Genomic DNA, 22,447 nt, shown 5'->3' with positions numbered 1-22,447 from the left:
GATGTAATTTTTATTGCAATAGATTACTTTTCATATCTTGTAGAGTTTCATATAAATGGGAGTGCATGGTATGAACTTTTTTGTTCTTGACTTCTTTCCCTTGGCAGAAAATTTTTGAGATTTACCCATTCTGTTTTAGCAGTAGTTTGCTCCTTTTTATGAGTGAACAGTATTTCATGTATGAATATACAAGGTTATAGACATGTTTGTTGTTTCCAGTTTGGGGCTATGATAAATAAAGCTGCCATAATCATTCATTTACAAAAATTGTATAGACATGTTTTCTGTTATCTTGGATAAATTACCTAAGTGGGAAAATGTTGAGTCATAGGGTAGGTGCATGTCTAACTTTTAAAGTAACTGACAAATGGTTTTACAAACTGGTTGTGCCATTTTATATGTATAAAAATTCCACTAAATTCAAATTCTCTTGACATTTGTAATTGTCAGTCTTTTAAATTTTAGCCAGTTTGGTGTTTATATAATGGTTTATCATTATGGTGTTAATTTCAGTTCCCCTAATGACTAATGATATTTAGCATCTTGTTATGTGTTTATTGGCCATTTATTATATTTTTTGTATAGTGTATGTTCTAGTCTTTTGCCCATTTTTTAAATTGGGTTTTTGTCTTTTTTATCATGGAGTTGAAGGAGTTCTCCACACATGTTAACAAGTCCTTTGTCCTATATATGTGTTGCCCATAATTTCTCAAAATCTATGACTTGTCTATTTATTTGGTGGCATATTTCAAAGAGCCAAAGTTTTAAATTCTGATGAAGTCTTATTTGTCGGGTTTTTATTTTATGATTCAACTATGGGTTTTCTAAGAAATATTTGCCTGACACAAATCTGCAAAGATATATTTTTCTAAGTTTTTGTTCATTAGCTATATTTTTTAGGTTATTACCTTTAGGAATATTGTTCAATTAGAATTGACTTTTTTGTGTATGATGTGAGGTAGGGGCAGAGTTTGTTTGTTTGTTTGTTTTCAATCCAGTATTCCAGCATATTTGTTGAAGAGATTTTCCTTTCCCCATTAGGCTGCTTTGGTGCTCTTGTTGAAAATCACTTGACTATATAAGTTTGGCCTCTTTGTTGACTCCTCATTCTATCTAATTGATCTATTTGTCCTTTTGCCAATATTATACTGTTTTAGGTATAGTAGCTTTATGATAAATGCCGAAGCCAGGTAGCATAAATCCTTCCATTTTTGTTTTTCTTTTTGAAGATTGCCTTCATTATTCTTGATCTTTTGTTTTTCCGGATAGTTTAAAATACGTTTATGTTAGAAAATATTTTGATTTACAAAGGTTGCAAAGAGAGTAAAAAGATTTCCCACGTAGTCCACACTTGGTTTCTTCTATTGCTAATATATTACATTAGTGTGGTGCATCTGTCACAACTAATAAATCAATATTGACACATTATTATTAAAGCTCATACTTTATTCAGAGTTCCCTTTTCTGCACCATGTCATTTTTCTCCTTCGAATACCATTCAGGATACCACATTGCATTGAGTTGTCCTGCCTTTTTAGGCTTCTCTAGACTGTGGTAATTCATTAGTCTTTCCTTATTTTTGATGACCTTGACTGTTTTGAGGGGTGCAGGTCAGCTATTATGTGCAATGTCCCTCAACTGGGAGTTGTCTGATATTTTTCTCAGTAGTAGACTGGATTTACGGTTTTGGGGGGAGAAAGATCACAGAGGTAAAGTGCCATTTTTATTGTATTACATGAAGGGTACATGCAATCAATATGCTTATCACTGTTGATTCTCATCTTAGTCATCTGACTAGGGTAGTATTTGTCAAGTTTCTCCACAATAAATAATCAAGTTACTCTTCCCTTTACCTTACTCCATACTGAAGAAAATCACTATGAATAGCCCATGCTTAAATGGTAGAGAGGTGGTGGATACTTCCTGAAAAGGGAGTATCTATGTAAACTATTTAGAATTTTTCTGCACTGGAGATATTCCATTATTTCCTACTTATTTACTTATGTATGTATGTATACAATTGTGTATGTGTTCAGTCGTTAACTACAGAAATTGATTGAAATTCTTCTCTATGGAATATTTGTCTCTCTTTCTCCATTTATTTATTTATTCAAACATTTATTTATATCAATATGGAGCCAACCATAATTATTTTATATTTCATGTTATAATTCAATGGCATACTACTAATTGCTCAGAATTTTTTAGCATTGGCTATTAGGAGGCCTTTCATATTGGTCCTGTATCCCTTTGGAAAGTTCCCATAATTGTTTTTGAGCATTTTCTTTCTTTTTGGTAATAGAAGATGCTCTAGATGGATATTGCATATTTCCTGCATCAGTCCTAAAATTAGTCATTTATCTAAGAAGTTCTGGCTCCTTTTATTGGAGAATGGCACTGGAAACTGAGATCTGGGCACCAATGTGCTCATTGATTTAGGGTGTTACTGTTTCTAGGCCCTTTCAGCTCATAGTACAAGCAAATATATGTGTGTACACTTATCTGTGTGTGTGTGTGTGTGTGTGTGTATGTCTTCAACCTTTTTGTGCTGCTATAACAGTGATTGGGTAATTTATAATGAAAAAAATTTTATTAGCTCACAGCTATGGAGTCTGAGAAGTCCAACATGAAGGTGACAGCATCTGGCAAAGACCTTTTTGCCATATCATAATAGGGCAGAAGCCATCACATGATAGAGGGGTAAAGAGAGAGCAAGAGAAAGCAAGAGAGGATGAGCTCACTATTGTGATAAAGAACCCATTCTTATAATAACAGCGTTAGTCCATTCATGAGGGCAGAGCTCTCATGACCTAAACACCTCTTAAAGGTTATACTTTATACTATTAGAATGGCAGCTAAGTTTCAACATGAGTTTTGAAGGGGACAAACATTTAAACTATAGCATTATACATATTCAATGAACATGCCATTCAAACAGGAGTGTGTAAAAAAGAAAAAAAAAATGGCAGTTCAACTGTACAGAATTTTGGGAATACAATAGATTTTCAAAAGTATTCAATGACATTGATCCACTCGCATTTTATAGGCAAAAAAATGGAGATCAAGTAATGTAAAATAACTCGCCTAAAGTCACATAGCAAGTCAGGATCAGGGTGGAACTGAGTGGAACCCGGGTTTCCTGACCTCATGGCACAGCTCTTTTCTCCACCCTGTGTTTCCTCTCTTTCTTTGCCTCTAGCACAACTTGGGACTATATTCTCTATGTCCTAGCTTTCAACAAAAGAGCAAAACAAATCCATGGCTTGACAATGTTCAGATTTATAAAAAGAGAAACGAGGAACATTGGTATATGTTTAAATTTCAAGACATTCTATTATTTTAGCCATCAAGCTTGATCCCACCTGTATCTTTTGTTTAAATAAAGCCTCAGTTTCCCAGTGTGTTTGCCTGTGATCTAGAGCTATAAATCACACGATTTATGAAATATCATTGGACAGAAACAATTTTAATTGTGTAAAATACCTAATATCTCATTAACTTTACTAAAACCCAAAATTACTGTTGTCCAGTTAAGTAAACAACTTTTTTCAATGAAAATGTTTTCTCCATTGTAATTGCCATATAGCTCATAATTCCTTTTATAAGCAGTCATGAAGAAAAATTTCTTATGAAAGTAAAACGCAAAGTATAAAAATAAAAATCTGTGATACTGACATAACAGTCAGAAACCAAACAATTTACTAATCAATAATTGAAATATATTAGTTGTTCATTGGGTAAAAAGTGTACATGTAGCTCTTAATAGAAGATATACACATTAATTCTTTCCTTAATCTGACTAAGACAGGAGGTATGTGTGTATGTGTGGTATATGTATTGTGTATGTGTCGTTGATATAATAGTTGCTTCCATTCCTTAAAAATCCGTACTTATATTCCCTTTAAACACTTCGCCAGTGCATTCGGAGATTAGATCTTTAAGAAGGAATCTCTAATGTCAGTCTCCTCATGGAAATTGCTTCTTAGCATGATTTCAAAATTGATATTTTTAAACTTATGTTTAAATAATGATAGGTCAGGCATGGTGGCTGACGCCTGTAATCCCAGCACTTTGGGAGGCTGAGGTGGGAGAATCTCTCAAGGCTAGGAGTTCAAGACCAGCCTGGGCAACATAGTGAAACCCCATCTCTACAAAAAATAAAAAAATTAGCAGGGCATGTTTGTGTACTCCTGTAGTGCCAGTTACATTGGAGGCTGAGGTGAGAGGATAACATGAGCCCAGATGATCGAGGGTACAGTGAGCTATGATTGCACCACTGCATACCAGCCTGGGTGACAGAGGAAGACTCTGTCTCAAATAATAATAATAATAAATTTTCAAAAATAATGACCATGGTTTGTGTAGATGTAAAAAAAATCCTAAAAATTTGTAAAGTTTTATCACAAGAAACATATCTTCCTAACTGATTACAAAGTTCATCTACCTTAACATCAGCAATTATAGTGATGTTCATTTTTTGGTTTTCAACATAACTGCTTATTTATTAATAATAGATGCTTATTAGTAGAAACTACATACATCAAAAGGAATATTTTGAAAGAGGTGAAATTTTAGTTTCAGAAAAATAAGAATGTTCATTAGAAAAAAATTTCTTCAAGGCACAAACAATGTGTAAGGAGGGTGGTATTTGTCACTTAAATAATTGAACCCTTTGGTGAAGAATGATGTGTTAATACAGGAATTATATTGTCATCTAGATTATTAAAAAGGACTGAAATAACATAAACAAGAGAAGGCAAGACTACACCACTTAAAAAATAATACAACAAAGCAAAAGGAAACATTGTAGAAAGTGGTTATAAACAAAATTTTTTTTTAGCACAGGCTTTGCCATAAAATAAATCTTGGAAGAAACCCAAGATCTACCATTTACTAGCTATGACCTTAAACAAATTCCTCAATTGCTGGAAGTCTCAGATTTTTCATCTGTAAATGGAGTTCATAATAGTTAGTACTGAATGCTTTACTATGTGCTAGGCACCACTGTAATAATTTTTTCATTTTTATTTTCTTTAAGACGGAGTCTCACTGTGTCACCTAGGCTGGAGTGCAGTGGTGCGATCTTGGCTCACTGCAACGTCTGCCTCCCGGGTTCACGCGATTCTCCTGACTCAGCCTCCCGAGTGGCTGGGATTACAGCCACCAAGCCTGGCTAATTTTTTTGTGTTTTTAATAGAGACGGGGTTTCACCATGTTAGCCAGGATGGTCTCAATCTCCTGACCTTGTGATCCACCCGCCTCAGCCTCCCGAAGTGCTGGGATTACAGGCGTGAGCCACCACACCCAGCCCATTCTAATTGTCTTTATGTGTTGTCTTCCTTGCTGTGTTCAAGAAGCCAAGAATTTGGTTCCATTATTGTTGCCATTTTACACATAAATATAGGCACAGAGATGTGAAAACATTTGCAGAAGATCATGCAGTTGCAGGTAGGGGAGCAAGATCAGAACTCAAACACTCTGGTTTGAATTCGTGATTTTCACCACCATGTGACCTGACTACATCAGAGGCTTTTGTGAGAATTAAAATTTCAAACTATATGTAAAATACTAAGAACAAGTCCTGCCCTTAGTGAGCAGCTATCAAAGAATAAAACAAAGAAAACTGAAATTAAAGGAGACCCAATCCAAGTTTATTAACCTGTCGGGGAAAGGAAAACACACCATGAAGCCATTTATTGACTAGTTGCACTGAGGGACAAAACGCTGATTAAGCGCTAGAAAACAGAGGAGGGTGTGTGTGTGTATGTGTGTGTGTGTGTGTGTGAGCTCATGGTGTTATCTTAAATAAAGATTGAATACTAGTGGCCTGAAAAGGAGGAGACAAGTTTGTAAGTCTGAATGTGATTGGATAAAACAAGTTTCCATGTTCATTAATCAGGAGAATTTTTGGATGGAATTAGTAGCAGCATGGCATCTTAAGTCACTCAAAATTCATGGCTTTTTTTTTTTCAGCTTCAGTTTGTCAGAACCAGTTGGGATGCAACAGGATTTTCAGTTTTGCTGCCTTCCATGCATGAATGGCTGTGAGTTGAAAATTTCCTTTTATCCATGGTAGCTATGATGATGATCACAATAGTGATCATGATACTAATTATGACCATGAATTTGCTACTGGATTGTAAAGTAATTTTTAAATTATACTTGTGCAATCTCATTTTCACTCTGTTGGACATGGGCTTCCAAATTGTTAGTGATTTATTTTCAAGCATGTGTATTTTGTGGATTTGGTCCTCATGCATTCTGCAAAGAATAGTACCAGTCAATGTTCAAAATATATGTCTTATAATTGTCAGAGTTGGAGACTTCACTAAGTTACTTGGGATCACAGGGTTTACTGTCTGGTGTAGAGTGATGTTCTCAGGAAAGAAATATTAATATATTAACCTTATGCTTACAATATAAAGGTATTTCTTCTATTATAACTCTACAACCACTCTGAGAGCCTCATTTTTTATAAAGAAGAGAAAAATAAAAATAAAGACATGAAGGAAAAATGAAAAGAAGAGAAAGAAAGAAAAGAAAGGAAGAAAGAGAAAACAGAAAAAGAAACCTAAACATGGACATTAGCAGCATTAAGTACAAAGCAAAGGAACTACAAAGTAAACTTCCACACTTTGGCGTAAGAGCCCTAGCTGTACTCTGCAGAGGAAATGAAAGAAGTTTGAGAGACTGCCACAGGAGCCAGAAGTTGAGAATTCAATTCTGACCACATGGGAATTCCATACAGTGACTGCTAAGTGGATGGAAGAGCTCAAGACCTGGGATCTTATCTGAAGAACCATTTATGACAGTAATTGACTTGCATGCCGGGGGGAAGTATCTATCTGTTGTTAGTTTTCTGTTTCAAAATATGCCCCAGTGCCTCCAATTGAAAAGCAGATTAGCCACCAGCAGAAGTTCCAAAACTTTTTCTCTCAGTTTCCTTTATACTCCCAAAAATTATTGAGAACCTCTAAATTGTGTCATATCTAGCAACGTTTACCATACTAGAGATTTAATAGAAAATTTAAAAATATTTAATTCATTAAAAATAATAATACAACCATTACATATTAACACAAATATCTATATTTTAAAAATTATGGTTTCCAAGACCAAACCAAAAATATAGAGAGCAATGAGCATTGTTCTGCAAATTTCTTTAATGTCTGGCTTAATTGATGACAACCAGATTCTCATATCTGTTCTGCATTCATTCTATTGTAATTTGTTGTCTTGGTTGAGATACACGAAGAAAATCCAGCCTCACACAGATATGTAGTTGGAAATGGGAGGGGTATTTTCTTGCTCTTTCAGATAATTGTGGATATTTTTCTTTGATGTTACACCAAAAATGGATAGATGATCATTGCTTGAAGATTAGTTGCAATTTGGGCTCTAAAACCTTATCAAATAAGCTTTTGGTGTCTGTTTACATTAAAACATTGGATCCTTTTCTAAAGCCTGATTTTCTTACATCATGCATTGATTATCTCTAAGTTATTGATTCACTTAGTTTATTGAGATCTTCCAAATGATGAGCCATTTCCCTATATGACATCAAAAAATTGTATTCATTAATATCTAACTTATATTGTCAGAAAAGACTTTAAGTACTAGGAAGTTCATGGTTTGGGTGCAGATTTTTCAAAATTCTCATTTTCAGTTGTGTATCAGTCAGGGTTCTCCAGAGATACATAAGCAGTAGAATACATGGAAGGGGATTTATTAGGGGGAATTTGCTCACAGGATCACAGAAGGAAAGTCCCTTCATAGGCCATCTGCAAGCTGGAGAAGCACAGAAGCTGGTAGCATGGCTCAAGCTAGTAAGTAGTATGGTTTAGTCCAAGTCCAGGAGCCTCAGCACCAGGAAAGTAAACAGTGCAGCCCCTACTCAGGTCCTAGAGCCCCCAGGAGGCTGCTCGAGTAAGTCCCAGAGTTCAAAAGCCAAAGAACCTGAAGTCTTATGTCCAAAGGCAGAAGGAGAAAAAGTGTCCTCCTCTGGAAGGGAGAGAGAGAGTAAAGAGAGCATGAGAATCCCACTTTTTCTGCCTACTTTTTCTGCTCCTAGCCCTTTGGAGGTGCCAGTCGGCACTGATGACAGGTCTTCCTCTCAGTGCACTGACTCACATGCCAATCTCCTCTGCATACACACTCTCAAATGCCCAATCATGATGCTTCATCTAGGCATCCCTCAATCCAGTCAAATTGACACCTATATTAACCATCACAACTCAAAAGCACATTTTTTTACCTCTGATAGTAAATACCATTAGTTGTTTTCCTTAAAGTGCTGGCTAACTTTATTCATTTTCAAGAGAAGTCTCTGAAATCCCCATATCGAAAACAAACATAGTTTGTTTTCCAGTCATTCTTTCAAGTAAAAAGGGTATTCGCTGAAGAAAGCAGGTAGTTTGCAACCCAAGCCATCAAACAAGTGCTTTTGTTTGCAACAACCATCTTGCTTTAGTATGCAGCATAAGTGGTTTATGTGCACATCTCACTTCACTACATAAAATTCTAAGAAGGAATTTACTCAAAAAGTGAAGTTTCAATAAAATCAATACTTATTACTGCTTCATCAAGACTTCAAGTACCTGACTCTGAAGAAATACAATGAGTGCCAGTGCCTTGATTTGGGCAAAAGGCAGTTTTACCCACCATTGCTTCTGCACAACCACTGCAAATGTTAACACGGTGAAAAAATAACATCTTAATATTACAATAAAAATAGTTTTGACCCTATGGACCCATTGAAAGGATCTTGGAGACCTCCAGGATTCCGATGGACTACACTTTGAGAACCGATGCTCTATTTTGAGAAAGAAAAAAACTCATTCACTAACTGAAATTCACACAGAGGACCGAATATTGCCAATGCCAGTTTCCAATCCACACTAGACAAACTCCAAGGACATCAGCAGCTAGGGACTCCACCCACTGCCATTCATAAATTAAAAGGAATTTTCTTCCTCGGCATGTGATTCATCTGGAAAAAGCTTTTAGTGCAAAGTTCTGAAAGAAGCCAAGAAGCATTTTATTATAACAATCTATTTTAATGTTGAGCTCAGTTCCAACACCAAAGCAGTTTTCAATAAAGGTTTAGAAAATGCATCAAGATAATTTCTCATTTACCACATATGCTGGAGTCTGGCTTAGAAGGGATCCCAACATTCCTAATAGCTGGGAAATATTAATAATGATTTGAAAACAAAAAAGCCAACAGTATTTCTTTTTAGATTCAGTAAATAATAAATTTCTGGCAATCTTTGTATTTCTAGGAATCCGCAAAAAAAGGAAACTGAGGATCCATCTTGGACAAATTAATTAACTTTTTAACATTAAAGTCAGAAGAGGTCTGTAGGACAAAACCCTGTTCTCTAAAGAAGCTCCCCCAAGGAATGCAGATCATAAAGAAACTAGCAACATCAGACTAAAACAGTTTTTTAAAAGTTTTACAAGAGTCCCATCATTTCTGTCTCTCCTATCACAAAATAAGGCCATTTGGCCATGCTTCCTAGTAAAATATTGCCACCTTATTTTTCAGTACCTTAACATGTACTAAGTATGTCTGAATTCCAGTAATACCAAAGAACACTAAGCATTGGCAGAGGCCATTGTCATTTTACTATATTAAAAAATACATACAAAAATGCAATTTACTATATTAAACATACATAAATGATATGTAGCTTTAAATGCATATGGAATTAAAGATCAGAAATGGCCATAAAGTAATCCGAATTGTATTCAGATGATGGGATCATTGGTGTAAACTGACATAACATTGTTTTAATAATAAGTGGTTTTACAATAATTACCATAGTCTGTTTGATATTAAATGCTGCTTAAAAGTTACTATTCCTCAATTCCTGACATCATCACCTTCTTGGCTCCAAAGAATCAAGTTGCAATGGTCTTGTAGCCAAAGTGAGGTGTGCAACAAAAGACCAAAGTATTTCTATCACCCAAGAAGAGGAAGAATTCTATGACAAATATGTGGCCTACCACATCGTTAGACAAAGAAAATTCATATGAGAAAGAATTAAAGGAAGTGTGGAGACAGGAAGAGGAGCTCTTACAAAGGTTGGAAGTAAACTTGAAAATAAAATACTAAGTTACATCAACTTTCATGAAGTGTAGTATGGAGTTAAAAGTAGCAAATAATTGGTCAACCTGTCCTTTGACATCTATTCATTCTTGAGATTACTTTACATGAGGATATTTAAAATGATGGTTTGTGGAGGCTTTCACAAAGCTGTGAATTATTTGATGCACCTTCCCTTGAGAGGCAGAGTCTCTGTCTCCTTACCTGGAATCTCAGTGAGCTTGTGGCTGCTTCAGTGCAGTATAGCTGAGATGAGGCTGTGTGACCTCTGAGGCTGCAGCATCCACCTTGTTCTCTGGGAGCATTTGTTCTTGAAGCTTTGAGCCACATATAGGCATTCTGCTTGGCAGTCCAACTGGGCCAGTCCTTTAGCATCCTAGCCCGCTGAACATGGGAGGGAGCGAAGAAGCCATCTTGGAAGTGAATCCTACAGTCTCAGCTTCTCTGGTTGGTCCTGGCCGTACAAGTCACACTAGCTAGGCTCAGTCACACAGTGGTGCCCCAGTGAACTTTCTTCTTTGGGCCCTTTCTGAGTTCTTTGCCCACAGAAACCATGAGTATAACAAAATGATTGTTGCTTTACACCACTAAGTTCTGGGATGGTTTGTTGGTTAGCAATAGATGACTGAAATGGTGGAGATGAATGGATGGGTGGGTGTCTATTAAACAAATATGAACCCACAAACTCCTCTTGTAACTCATCGTTCCATTTTTTCTACACTCAGTTCATTTGATCACTTCATCAAAGGCAGCAGTTAAATGAGGCTCAGAAGGGCTTAAGGGCCAGTCAACAGGGAAGATGTGTAAAGGCTCAGCAAGTTTCTCTCAAACCCAATCCATTGTTGTTGACATAGACATAACTGTTGCCCACTCATGGCTCTATGTGTGTGCAACACAAACCCAGAAAAGTCCATCTTAGGAGTTTAAATAAGCCTGGGAAGATTTTGCAGTGATTCTTTGCAAGATTACAGTGCAGTGCAAGGATCTGAGAAAATGAAACATTAAAACGACCCTGAAAAAGAGTAGCTATCCATTCTAGCAGCAAAGGTCATAGTATTGATATGCTTCCTTAAGTTCCCTGAATTTTAAATACTCTGTGGTTTTAATTCAGGGAGCAATATGAAACTGTTCTCTACTCCCAAACCTGCCTTAACTTCTTGATTTACTTGGCTGTGTAGAAGCAATTAGAACAAAGACTTCTAAGATCCAGGGAGTGAGTGAAAGTCTAACTTGTGTCTCATCCACAAAACGTAGAACAAGTAAGCAAAAACGTGATCACCAGCTAAGTTCCATGAGCGTAGGGCTTTATTTTGTAGTCTGCTGAGTCCCCCAGCACCTAAGGTAGTACTCAGCATGTAGAAAGTGCTCAGTAAATATTTATTGAATAAATGTCTGAACATGAGAGGCCCTGCAGGGGGTGCTGCCACAGAAAAGAGAGAAAATGTCCATGAATTCCTTAGATCAAAAATTTTTCTTAGTACGTATTTTGGTCACTATCTGATGAAAGTGAAATCAGTTGAGACCATATATATGATAATATTTCATATAGAATTCACTGAGCTTTCTAATATGAAAGAGAAAAGCTTCGGGTATAAACAATGTTTTGGGTTAGATGAGTAAGAGTATATAACATGGAATAATGCCATGAGAAAGGCAAAATCAACTTAAATTTTATCTGATTGCAGGACAGAACTGCATATCCTCAATCCAATGTTTCCATCATGTAGTAGACTTTTTTCCTTTAAAGAAATGACTAAGTGGCATATAAATCTGGGCAACTAAAGAAATGGTATTCAGAGGAAACTACTTTTTTCTTATGTTTGGTGACATATGTAAGGAACATTTTACCTGGTCAGAATTTAAGCCAGATTTATTTCAGCCTGGTATCAATGCCCCCATAAAAAGTCACATGAGGTTCTTGTTACAAACAGCTCTCAAAGTTGAACAGTAACAAAATCCTCACGCAATCTTCTTCCCAACTTGTAAAATGTGGATCCACCATTATTTACCATTATTACCATATTACCATTATTTACCCCTATGCACCACTAATGTTGATGAAGATGGTAGCTACCATCCTGTTAAAGGTTTATTACATGTGCAATCTCATTTAGTCCTCCAACCTACTCTGTAGGGATTATATTATTATTATTATCATCATCATCCCAATTTTTGAGAACAGGAAACTCAAGGTTCTGCCCCTCTGGCTGCAGAGTCAGAGTTCTTGCATCATAGACTATACCGCCTCTTAGGAGTTAGGGTAAGCTTACCTCACCCACGTCCTGCCAAAGGGACAAGCATAGTTCACACAGATAATTTTAATATTGAGTTCATTTTTATATAAAAAAATAGATTCCTTCTCAAAAGAAATAAAGCTGTCCTCTTCATTCACAAGCATTAATTTGGTAAATATCTAGTTGATTTCAGCAGTGCGGTGTGTGCTGTCTGGCCAGCCTCCCTCATTAAATTAGCCCAGTGGCTGGAGATTTAAACAGAAAGTGACTTTCAAAAGTTTGTCATTCATCTTAATATGTTAGCAAAAATGTCCCACCTCGAAGTACATCAAGAATCATGTAGTAAATGGCTCTTTTAATGGACACAAAAATGATCCCAAGAAGTTCCTCACCCCTGGGAGTTTAACAGGGAGACCAGGCACGCATACAATTGGGACAAGAGCCTTCTCACTGAACTTAGTCCCTGCCAGAGACTCTGGACTGCAATCTCCCATGACATCACAAGTGAGAAAAGTGGGGTTCAGAAGTCAAAAAGACTGGGTTTCAATCTTGATGTTCTCACTTTTAACTTCGTGAATGAGGACAATGTTATTGAATATCTCAGATGTTCAGTTTCCTTCAGGTAAAACAGCAATTATATTATTTACCCCAAAGTGGAGTTGCCAGATGAAAATATAGGGGATCCAATTAAATTTGAGTTTTGTATAAACATTAAATATTTTTAAAAATATAAGTAAGTCCCAAATACTGCATGGGGAATACTTACACCAAAATTACTACATGAGGCCATAATGTTAAAATAAATATTTTGTTATCTAAAATTAAAATTTAATTGAGTATCCTGTGTTTTGTCTCCACCTCAAGGGCTATTGTGATGTTGAGATAACAACTATAAAGCCTAGCCCACTTCTTGGTACATAATAGATAGATAACAGATGTTAGTCTCCTTCCTCCTGTCTAAGAACCTTTGTCATCAATTATTCCTTCTTGGGCCAGCTTCTTCAGCTCTCCTCTCTAGAGTTATCTCTTCTGTGACTACAAATATTCAAGTCTCTCATATCCATTAAATTTAACACACACACACAAAATAAAATCTGACATGTCTGCCATTTAGCATTCTTTTTCTCTTAATGCTTTCACTCCCAAATTTACTAAAAGTGTTCCTCACTGAGTTCCAATACCTCTTTGCCTTCCGCTCTGTCATTGTTCACTTCACAAATGATTAAGGAGCACCTGCTGTTTGCCACACACAGTGACTGGAACTGGGGACACACTGTGAGTGAAAACTGACTCTGCCCCTCCTTCCTGGTGTTCACCATCTTCTTGAGAATGTGACTTCTGACTCATCCTTCTACTGATATCTTTCCTTCGAAAGTCACCACGGCTCACCTAACTCCTCATTTTTCTCTTTACTGCCCTTCCACAGAAACACATAAATCTCTTTTCTCTCTCCCTTGGGATGTCATACCTTCCTGAGTCTTTATCCTTCCCTAACCCCCTATCCCAAGCCAATTCTTCTCTAATCTTTCTCTCTCAACAAAGAGCTTGTTCAAGCTAAAAACCCAGAGACTCTTGATTCCCTCTCTCCTCTTTCATCTCATCTACCAGCAGGTCCTGTTGACTCTACCTCTAAAATATATCCCCAAACTGCCCATGTCCCTTCATTGCCGTGGTTACTGCTTTGCCTCAAGAGCCATCCACCTCCAACAGAACACTGTACAGCCTCCTAACAGGGCTCTTTTCTTCACACAGCCACCAGCTTGAACTTTTAAAAAAGCAAATCTGATCATATCACTCCCACACCACAATAAAACAAAACAAATTAACAAACCAGAAGACTCCAGTGTCTTTCCATTGCACTCAGAATAAGATCCATATTGGCTTCCCAGCCAACACTGCCCTTCATTATCTGTATCCCGCCTGCTCTCTGCCCTCACCCTGTCTCTCTCCACTTGTTCATCACCTTCAAACCTGGAACCCTCTGCCAGATCCTCGCAGCAAGGGCTCCCACCATCAATCAGGTCTCAGCTCAGACATCCCTGGCACAGGGAGGCTGTCCCCCACTCTCTTCACAGCACTCACGTCATTCACTCAGTTGTTGATGGTTCATCATCTGTCTTCCTCATTGGAAGGGAAGCTACCGAGGAGTGAAGGCCTTGTCTTTCTTATTCACCAGGAGATCCCTGGTGCCTGGAACAGTGGCTGGAAAATGGTAGATGTTCAATAGATATTTGCTGATGAATGAATGAGTCAGTGAATGAAAGAAAGACGCAGATGAAGAGCAGGAGGAAGTGATTAGGAACAAAGCCCCTGTGTTGGTAAATCTATGTTAAGCTTCATAGCTGAGTCAAAGAAGACAAAAACAAAATTATAAAGGCATTGGAAAATCTCTTGCTTTAAAAGCATTTTCTTGCCTCTTTCTAAACATTTCAGATAAAAGTGTCCCCTGAGCTCCCTCCCGTACCTGTTATGTGTTTATATCAAATGCAAAGATTAAGGAGGGAGAAGGTGGGGAGAACGCTCTCCTCCTCAGCAAACCTAAGGTGCCTCTTCTCTGTGCACAGGACTCTTCCCCCAGGGAAGGGGAACGTGATTGTTCTTCTTAAGGCTTCCCAGACCCACAGCTCATCACCTTCCTTCCAAGTGATGGCATCCAGCAGAGTTTCAGCTTGGTTCCTAGCTACTCTTTTCTTGTCTATTCTAACATAAGGCAGAAATAGAGGGAAGGAAGAAAAAAAGGAAGGAGAGATGAAGAGAGGGAGAGAGAGGGAGGTCATAAGAAGCTGAGCTCGCTTCTCCAGGCATCACAGGCTGCACTAGGTGATGCTGGACATTGAAAACACACAGGGACAAGGACACACACACACACACACACACACACACACACACACACGACTCATGGGGACCCGGGAATCTGTGACCATGGTCCCCATGGCAATAAGGAGTGGAAGATGTTTCAAGTGTTTGTGCAGCAACTGCTACTTCTGATTTTCTCAGTGAGGGTGGCTGGCAGTGAGGAGGTCCAGGAGCTCCTAGGCTTCTATGGACTATGCTGATGGAGGGCCTCACTGGCTCCTAATACACATGGAATTGAGAGAAAACAAAGTTAAGTAGAACATAAGGATTCCAAAAAAGAATAGCCGTACCCTGCCCCACCACTGGTCCTGATCCCAGGAAGCAACCATTGTTATATTTTAGCTCTTTTTTTTCCTTCAGATATTGGCCTCCGTGTTTCTAGATAATGTGATTATATTAAAATTTCCTGATTTTTCAATTATAGACATTATTAACTTCCTACTAAAAAGCATAAGACTTAATCTTTTTTAAGTGAGTATTATCCCCATCACCATACAACTACTGTTACCCTATGCACACACATAAATGCACACAGCTACTCTTTCCATACTTTGAGTTCTCTTACAATTTTTGGTTAAATCAGTATTTAGTATTCAATTATTATGACCTGGTAACTACGGGTTACAGGCGAGCCACACACTGAACTATGAGTACATTTTCTTTCTTGAACCCATCTGAGAATCAACTTTATCCACATCAGACTAGCAACAGTTAAACAATCTGATGCTATTGAATTTTGGTGAGGATGTAGAATAGTGGGGCCTAATTGCTGGTATGACTATGAATTGCCACACCCATTCTGAAGAGCAGTTTCTCTGCACATGGTACCTCAGCAACTCCAATTATAGCTATGCACCTTAGAGAAATTCTCATCTCCATGCACATAGACACTATACACTCATGTAGCATAGTTTGTGACAGCAAAAATGTGGAAATAACCAAAATGACTCATAGGAGAATGGATGAACAAATTCAGGAGATGAAACCTTGCACAGGACTTAAGCTTAATGAACTTTAGCTACATATATCAACATAGGTAAATCTCAAAAACCTAATGTTGACTAGGAAAGAAAGCTACACAATAATAAATGGAATGATAATATTTATTCAAAGTTTGAAAATAAGTCAAATAATATCATTTATTATTTATAGTATTATACTTTCAAAGTAATAAGTATACAATATACATAGGATAGGAATGATAAACTCCAAATTCAGGATCATGGTTACTTCTAAGGAGGGAGGAGAAATAGAAAGTGGTAAAAGAATTCAAATGTGCCTGTAATTTGTGTTTTTTTTTTTTTTTTTTTTTGAGTTGGAGTCTCACTCTGTTGCCCAGGCTGGAGTGCAGTGGAGCAATCTCAGCTCACTACAAGCTCCATCTCCTGAATTCAAGTGATTCTCCTGCCTCAGTCACTCGAGTAGCTGGGATTACAGGTGTGCATAACCATGTCTGGCTATTTTGTAATTTTTTTTTTTAAGTAGAGATGGGGTTTCACCATGTTGGCCAGGCTGGTCTCAAACTCCTGACCTTAGGTGATCTGCCCACCTCAGCCTCCCAAAGTGCTGGGATTACAGGTGTGAGCCACCACTCCTGGCCTATAATTTGTTTTAAGGAGGTGAATATGGTACAGTGTCAAGGTTTGATAGAGCCGGGTGGTGGAAACAGGCATTCATTATGGTTTCTCTATACTTTATGTTATGGGTTATATGTATAAAAAAATTTTAAAGTAAAAAAAAGAAAAGCTTCCATTACAAATGTTTTCTCTTGAGAGGAGTCTGGTAAGGAAATTCCATTCCAATCTTGCAGCCTGAATTTAACATAGGAATAAAGTTATCTTCACTTGTGGACGTGCATCTAGCATTTGTTTTGTTGTTATTTTTCTTTGGCCTGAATTATAAAACTAAAGGCCTAAAATTGTTCGGTGGCCAGATGCTTTGTCTAGAATCAGCAGATTAATTTAAGGGGAGTGGTGAACACTAAGATTTGGTATAAACTTGTGTGTGTGTGCACACACGTATGTGTATGTGTGTATGTGTGTCTGTGTGCATTGCTCTGAGAAGAGGATCCATTGCTCCCATCCAATTTTCAAAGGATCTGCTGTGGAACAAAGTAATCCAAAATCTAGTAGAATAAAACAACAAGCATTTAATTAGGCTCACAACACTGAGTCTGGAATTCAAGCAGGGCACAGAGGGAATGACTTGTGTCTGCCCAGTGATGATTGGGATCTCAGCTTGTGTGGCTCAAATAGCTGCATATGCCTGGGGCCTTGATTTTGGCTGTTGACTTGTTTCTTCAACTTTTCTCCTTGTTGAGTCTGTTAGGTTGGAATGACCAAGATGATTTTTCCACCCATTCTTGGGACCTGGACTATGATGGCCACAGCAGCTAAAGATGCCAGGTATCTATCTCAACATAGCCTCTCCAAGTGGCTAGCTTGAGCTTCCTCGCAGTATGGCAGTCTCAGGGTGGTTGGACTTCTTACACAGTGGTTGGCTTCCCTCAGAATGAGTGTTCTAAGTGACTGGAGTTGCAAGTTCCTTAAGGCATGGGTCTAGAAACTAATCCAATGAAACTCCTGTCAGGTTCTGTCGGTCAAAGCAGTCACAGAGGCTGTCTGAATTCAGTGGATGGAAACATAGACCCCACCTCTCTATTAGGGGAATATCTAAGTGTTTGCGGCCACAGGGTATCTGCCACCGGGCCCATGATCCTTCAGACATTAAGAACCCTTGATCTAACAAATGTCAACTCTAAATAATGAGATTTAGAAAACATGATTAAGTATAGAGTTTATCTGAGGGCAAAGCTTGAGGACAGCCACCTGGAAAACACAGACTCCTAAGGAATGGAGTCAGTGATCCAAAGTGGAGAAGTTAACTGTTTTTTTTTTTTCTTTTTCTTTTTTTTTTTTTTTGAGACAGAGTCTCACTCTGCTGCCCAGGCTGGAGAGCAGTGGTGCAATCTTGGCTCACTGCAACCTCTGCCTCCCAGGTTCAAGCAATCCTCCCCCTTCAGTCTCCCAAGTAGCTGGGATTACAGACATGTGCCACCATGCCTGGCTAATTTTTGTATTATTAGTAGAGACGAGGTTTCACCATTCTGGCCAGGATGGTCTTGAACTCCTGACCTCAAGTGATCCATGCGCCTTGGCCTCCCAAAGTGCTGCGATTACACATGTGAGCCATCATGCCCAGCCGAAGTTAAGATTTTATATGGCAGAGACAGATAACTTTAGCAGGGTTACAACATTTGCCATATAAGGTTAATACATACATTACAGTGAATTGATGGGTTAGCACTTGCTATAGTCCAAGGAAGATTGCTTTAACATTTTATCAGGAGGGATAATGATCTTGAGGGGTCCTATCTCTGGCAACATCTTTCAGTCGGTTCTCATTATTATGTCAAAAAACAAAGCTTCAGCTGCATGCTACATGACTTGGGCCACATAGCCACATTCCTCTCAAGGCTCAAAATAGCTTTAAGTTCCAACACCTTTATTTAATTTCACATAATACAACTGGTTCATGGTACGAAGGGGAGCCAGGCCTTGGCAGCAGATGTGCTAGGAGTTCTCCTAGCACTTGTTCTTTGTTCCTCTGTTGTAGGTGGGGGTGCACACAGGTTAATGATATAGTCTCTGGAGTCATACAAACTTGGGTCCAAATTCCAACTTCATCCCTTATTAGCTGTTTCACTTTGGGCTGGTTATTCTTTAGACCTCAGTTTCTTCTTGTATAAAATGAAAATAGTAATGGCCCCTTTCTCATAGGGTTGTTGTGAGGCTTGGCAGGTGCACAGTTAGTGCTTAAGAAACATTAATTGTCATTGGCCTGAAACTCCCCATATAAACTTTAAAAAATTAATCAAAATTAATCAGGAAACAGGGAGAGGGAGAAACCAACATAAACCCAGCCTGTAGCACATTCAGCATTAATCATGAAGTTAGCTCACTCTCTGACCTGTTTCCTCATAGTTGTTTGTTATCTGTTGTCCTAGAATCATGTAGACCATGTTATAAGATTACACTTTCCCTTAACTGCTCTGTAGAGAACAACTTGAACATTATGAAACATTAAGAAGTTTTTTCTTTGAGATACTCCTTCAGGTTCTGCATACTATGAAACTACTACATCAGCAGGTCCAAAGGACTCCACTGACTCAACTGATCTGAGGGACCCCATGAGAAGCCTACTCATCAAAGAATGCAGTTTCTAAATCCTGATGAGTTCACCCCCCTTGCCCTGACCAATCAACAATCCTAATTCTCCAGTCCCTTGCCCTCCATGATCCTCTTAAAAACCCTAGCCCAGAATTCCTCAGGAAGATGGATTTGAGGGTCTCCTTCCAACTCCTCACTCAGCGCCCTGTGGTCATTAAACTTTCTCTGCTGCATCCCTGCTGTCTCAGTGTAATGATTCTGTTATTGTGCCGTGGGCATACAAACCTGTTTGTCCTGTATCAGGCAAGTCTCCCTGTTATATATTTTCATGGCATTCTGAACTTGCCATTTGTAGCATTATCACAATTGTAACCAATTATACTCTAACCACTGTGTGGTATCTGCCTCCTTCATCAGACTGTAAGCACTTTGAGGGCAGGAATCATATCTATCTCGTTCTTGGCTTTATATCTAAGGCCCAGTAGAATGCCACACACAGGATACATATTGAATAAATAAATGAATGAATGCTTTCATGTATGGAGATTTTCTGGGTGTAAGAGCTAAATGTTTTCAAAAGCACAGAATTTGAAACTATTAATTATGGGGTTTCTATGCTACATGTCAGCAGCATCAGTCCTCCTATAGAACTTCTGCTGGTTTATTATGAAGAAGGTTAAGTAGAATTATTCCGATAATAAGAGACAATTACCCTCTTTGAGAAAAGCCTGGCTCAACAGTGACAGGATAAAGTGGAAAGAAATGAATGTAGGCATCTGTGGGTTGGAAAGTCATGAGGCCAGAGGAGACATGACTACAATGATGACATAAAAATATTTTTGGACTGAACCAAAGGGAAGAGTCCACAGTCAGTTGTCACATCCTTCTGTTGTCAATAAGGTAAAGCACCATAAGTTAGGAGTCACGTGCAAAGAGGATGCAAGAAGAAAGTGGGAAGCAAGAGGGATTTATAGATGGTTTTCTAGAAAGTAAAATGGGAAAAGCAGTTATTCCAATTGGTTGAGAAGAAGGAGAGGAGAGACATCCTCATCGTCATGTAAGCCAAGAGTAGGTCCTCTGGCTCATGGGTTTTAGGGCACTATTGTTTCTTTGTGGTAAAACATGTGTCTGACTTGAGCTTGGGTCAAATTGATGGTGAACTCCTTGTCTTTGTTTCACACACTGGGATTTACAAAGAGCAAGTTGAGCACCAGGCTATTAGACAATCTGCAAGGATCACACACCCAGACAGGAAGGTGATCAGGATGTCATGACTTGTCCCAGCTTGTTACCACTCAATAGTCTACCCATCATCTTCACATCAAGGAGAAAAAAGGCATAGGGAATTTTTTAAAATACAAAAAATCCCTCATGTTTTTTATGTTAAAGTTTTTTCATCTGACAAGGCAGAGAATAAATCAATCACAGACAAGTAAAGTTCAAAAGAGATAGGGCCTTGTAATTACTGCCATTAAAAGCTTAAGAGTCTGCATGTCAAATGGCTGCTATTTATGGATTTAATAGAGGAAAAAATATCAGTATGTGCTTGAATTTCTAATATGCTTCAGTTATTCTTACCATTAATAATCTATAGGCAAAAATGCATATGCTCAACTTATTTCATGAAAATAGGTGACTAAAGTAGCTCTTTGAATATAACATGTGACTGATCATCATCAACTGATCTTCCTGTGTGGTTTGTGGAATTCTAATAGACTTAATTACTGGTGTCATTAATTCTGATAGGCTTAATGACTGGTGTCTGTAACATTAACAACAAAGTGCCTCATTGCTTCGCAGTCAGACCAGAAGCACCTGCCAAGGGGCTCCACACTGGGAGGAACTAGGAGGGTTTGAGAAAGCTGTAAAGAAAATATAGGTCATTGCTGGATTATATAGCAATTTTATTTTTAGTTTTTTAAGGAAACTCCATGCTGTTTTTTAAAATGGCTGTACTAATTTATGATATCATCTACAGTGTACAAGTGTTTCCTTTTCTGCACATCCTCACCAACACCACCGTTCATCTTTTTGATAATAGCCATCCTAACAGATGTGAGATGATATCTCATTGTGGTTTAAATTTGCATTTCTTTTAGAGATTTTGAGCAGTTTTTTTCATGTATCTGTTGCTTTCTTTGGGGAAATAGCTATGATCTCATTTATATCCAGAATCTAAAAATTTCAAACTCATAGAAGCAGAGAGTAGAATGGTGGTTACCAGAGGCTACTGGAGGGGGGTTGTGGATGGGAAAGGGGAGGTGTTGATGAATGGGTCTGTATTAGTTTATTTTCACACTGCTGATAAAGACATACCTCAGACTGGGCAATTTACAAAAGAAAGAGGCTTATTGGACTTACAGTTCCATATGGCTGGAGAGGCCTCACAATCATGGCGGAAGACAAAAAGCATGTCCCACATGGCGGCAGACAAGGAAAGATAGTTTGTGCAGGAAAACTCCCATTTTTAAAACCATCATATATCATAACACCCATTCACTATCATGAAAACAGCACAGGAAAGACTGACCCCCAGGGTTAAATCATCTCCCTTGTGTCCTTCTCATAACACATGGGAATTACGGGAGCTACAAGATGAGACTTGGGTGGGAACACAGAGCCAAACCATATCAGGGTCCAAAGTTTCAGTTAGATAGGAGAAATATGTTCTGGTGTTCTATTGCACAGCATGATGACTACTGTTAATAATAGTATATTGTATATTTCAAAATAGCTAAAAGAGAGGATTTTTAATGTTCTTACCCCAAGAAAATGATAAGCATTTGAGGTGATAGGTATGCTAATTAACCTGATTTGATCATTCCTAAATGTATACGTCTATCAAAACACCACACTGTTTTCCAGAAATATATACAATTATTATTTGTCAACTAAAATATAACTTTATAAAATAAATAAAAAGATAAAATTTAATTTAATTTAAAAAAGAAAATGTAGGTAAGATTATGGGAAAATCCAAAGGCCTAGGAGTGGGGAAAAAGAGCCTAGGGTAAGCGTTGTGTGATATCTTTTCATTGCTATATCTTCAGCTATAAAATTTATGGATGTGATTATGGCAT

The 22,447-nt window shown here is 38.0% G+C and overlaps 1 long non-coding RNA gene across 1 annotated transcript in view; it reads left to right on the top strand.

Moving 5' to 3' along the window:
• Positions 1-19,600, top strand: part of LINC02386 (long intergenic non-protein coding RNA 2386) — a 65,929-nt gene extending 46,329 nt beyond the window's left edge. The window contains exons 3-5 of the long non-coding RNA NR_183469.1: positions 5,974-6,044; positions 17,527-17,603; positions 19,314-19,600. This is a non-coding gene — a long non-coding RNA (long intergenic non-protein coding RNA 2386). The remainder of the gene's footprint in view (positions 1-5,973; positions 6,045-17,526; positions 17,604-19,313) is intronic.
• Positions 19,601-22,447: the final 2,847 nt, after the last annotated feature.

The sequence above is a fragment of the Homo sapiens genome, chromosome 12, assembly GCF_000001405.40.
Source record: "Homo sapiens chromosome 12, GRCh38.p14 Primary Assembly".
NCBI lineage: Eukaryota > Metazoa > Chordata > Mammalia > Primates > Hominidae > Homo > Homo sapiens.
This window is presented reverse-complemented; position numbering and strand designations above follow the sequence as displayed.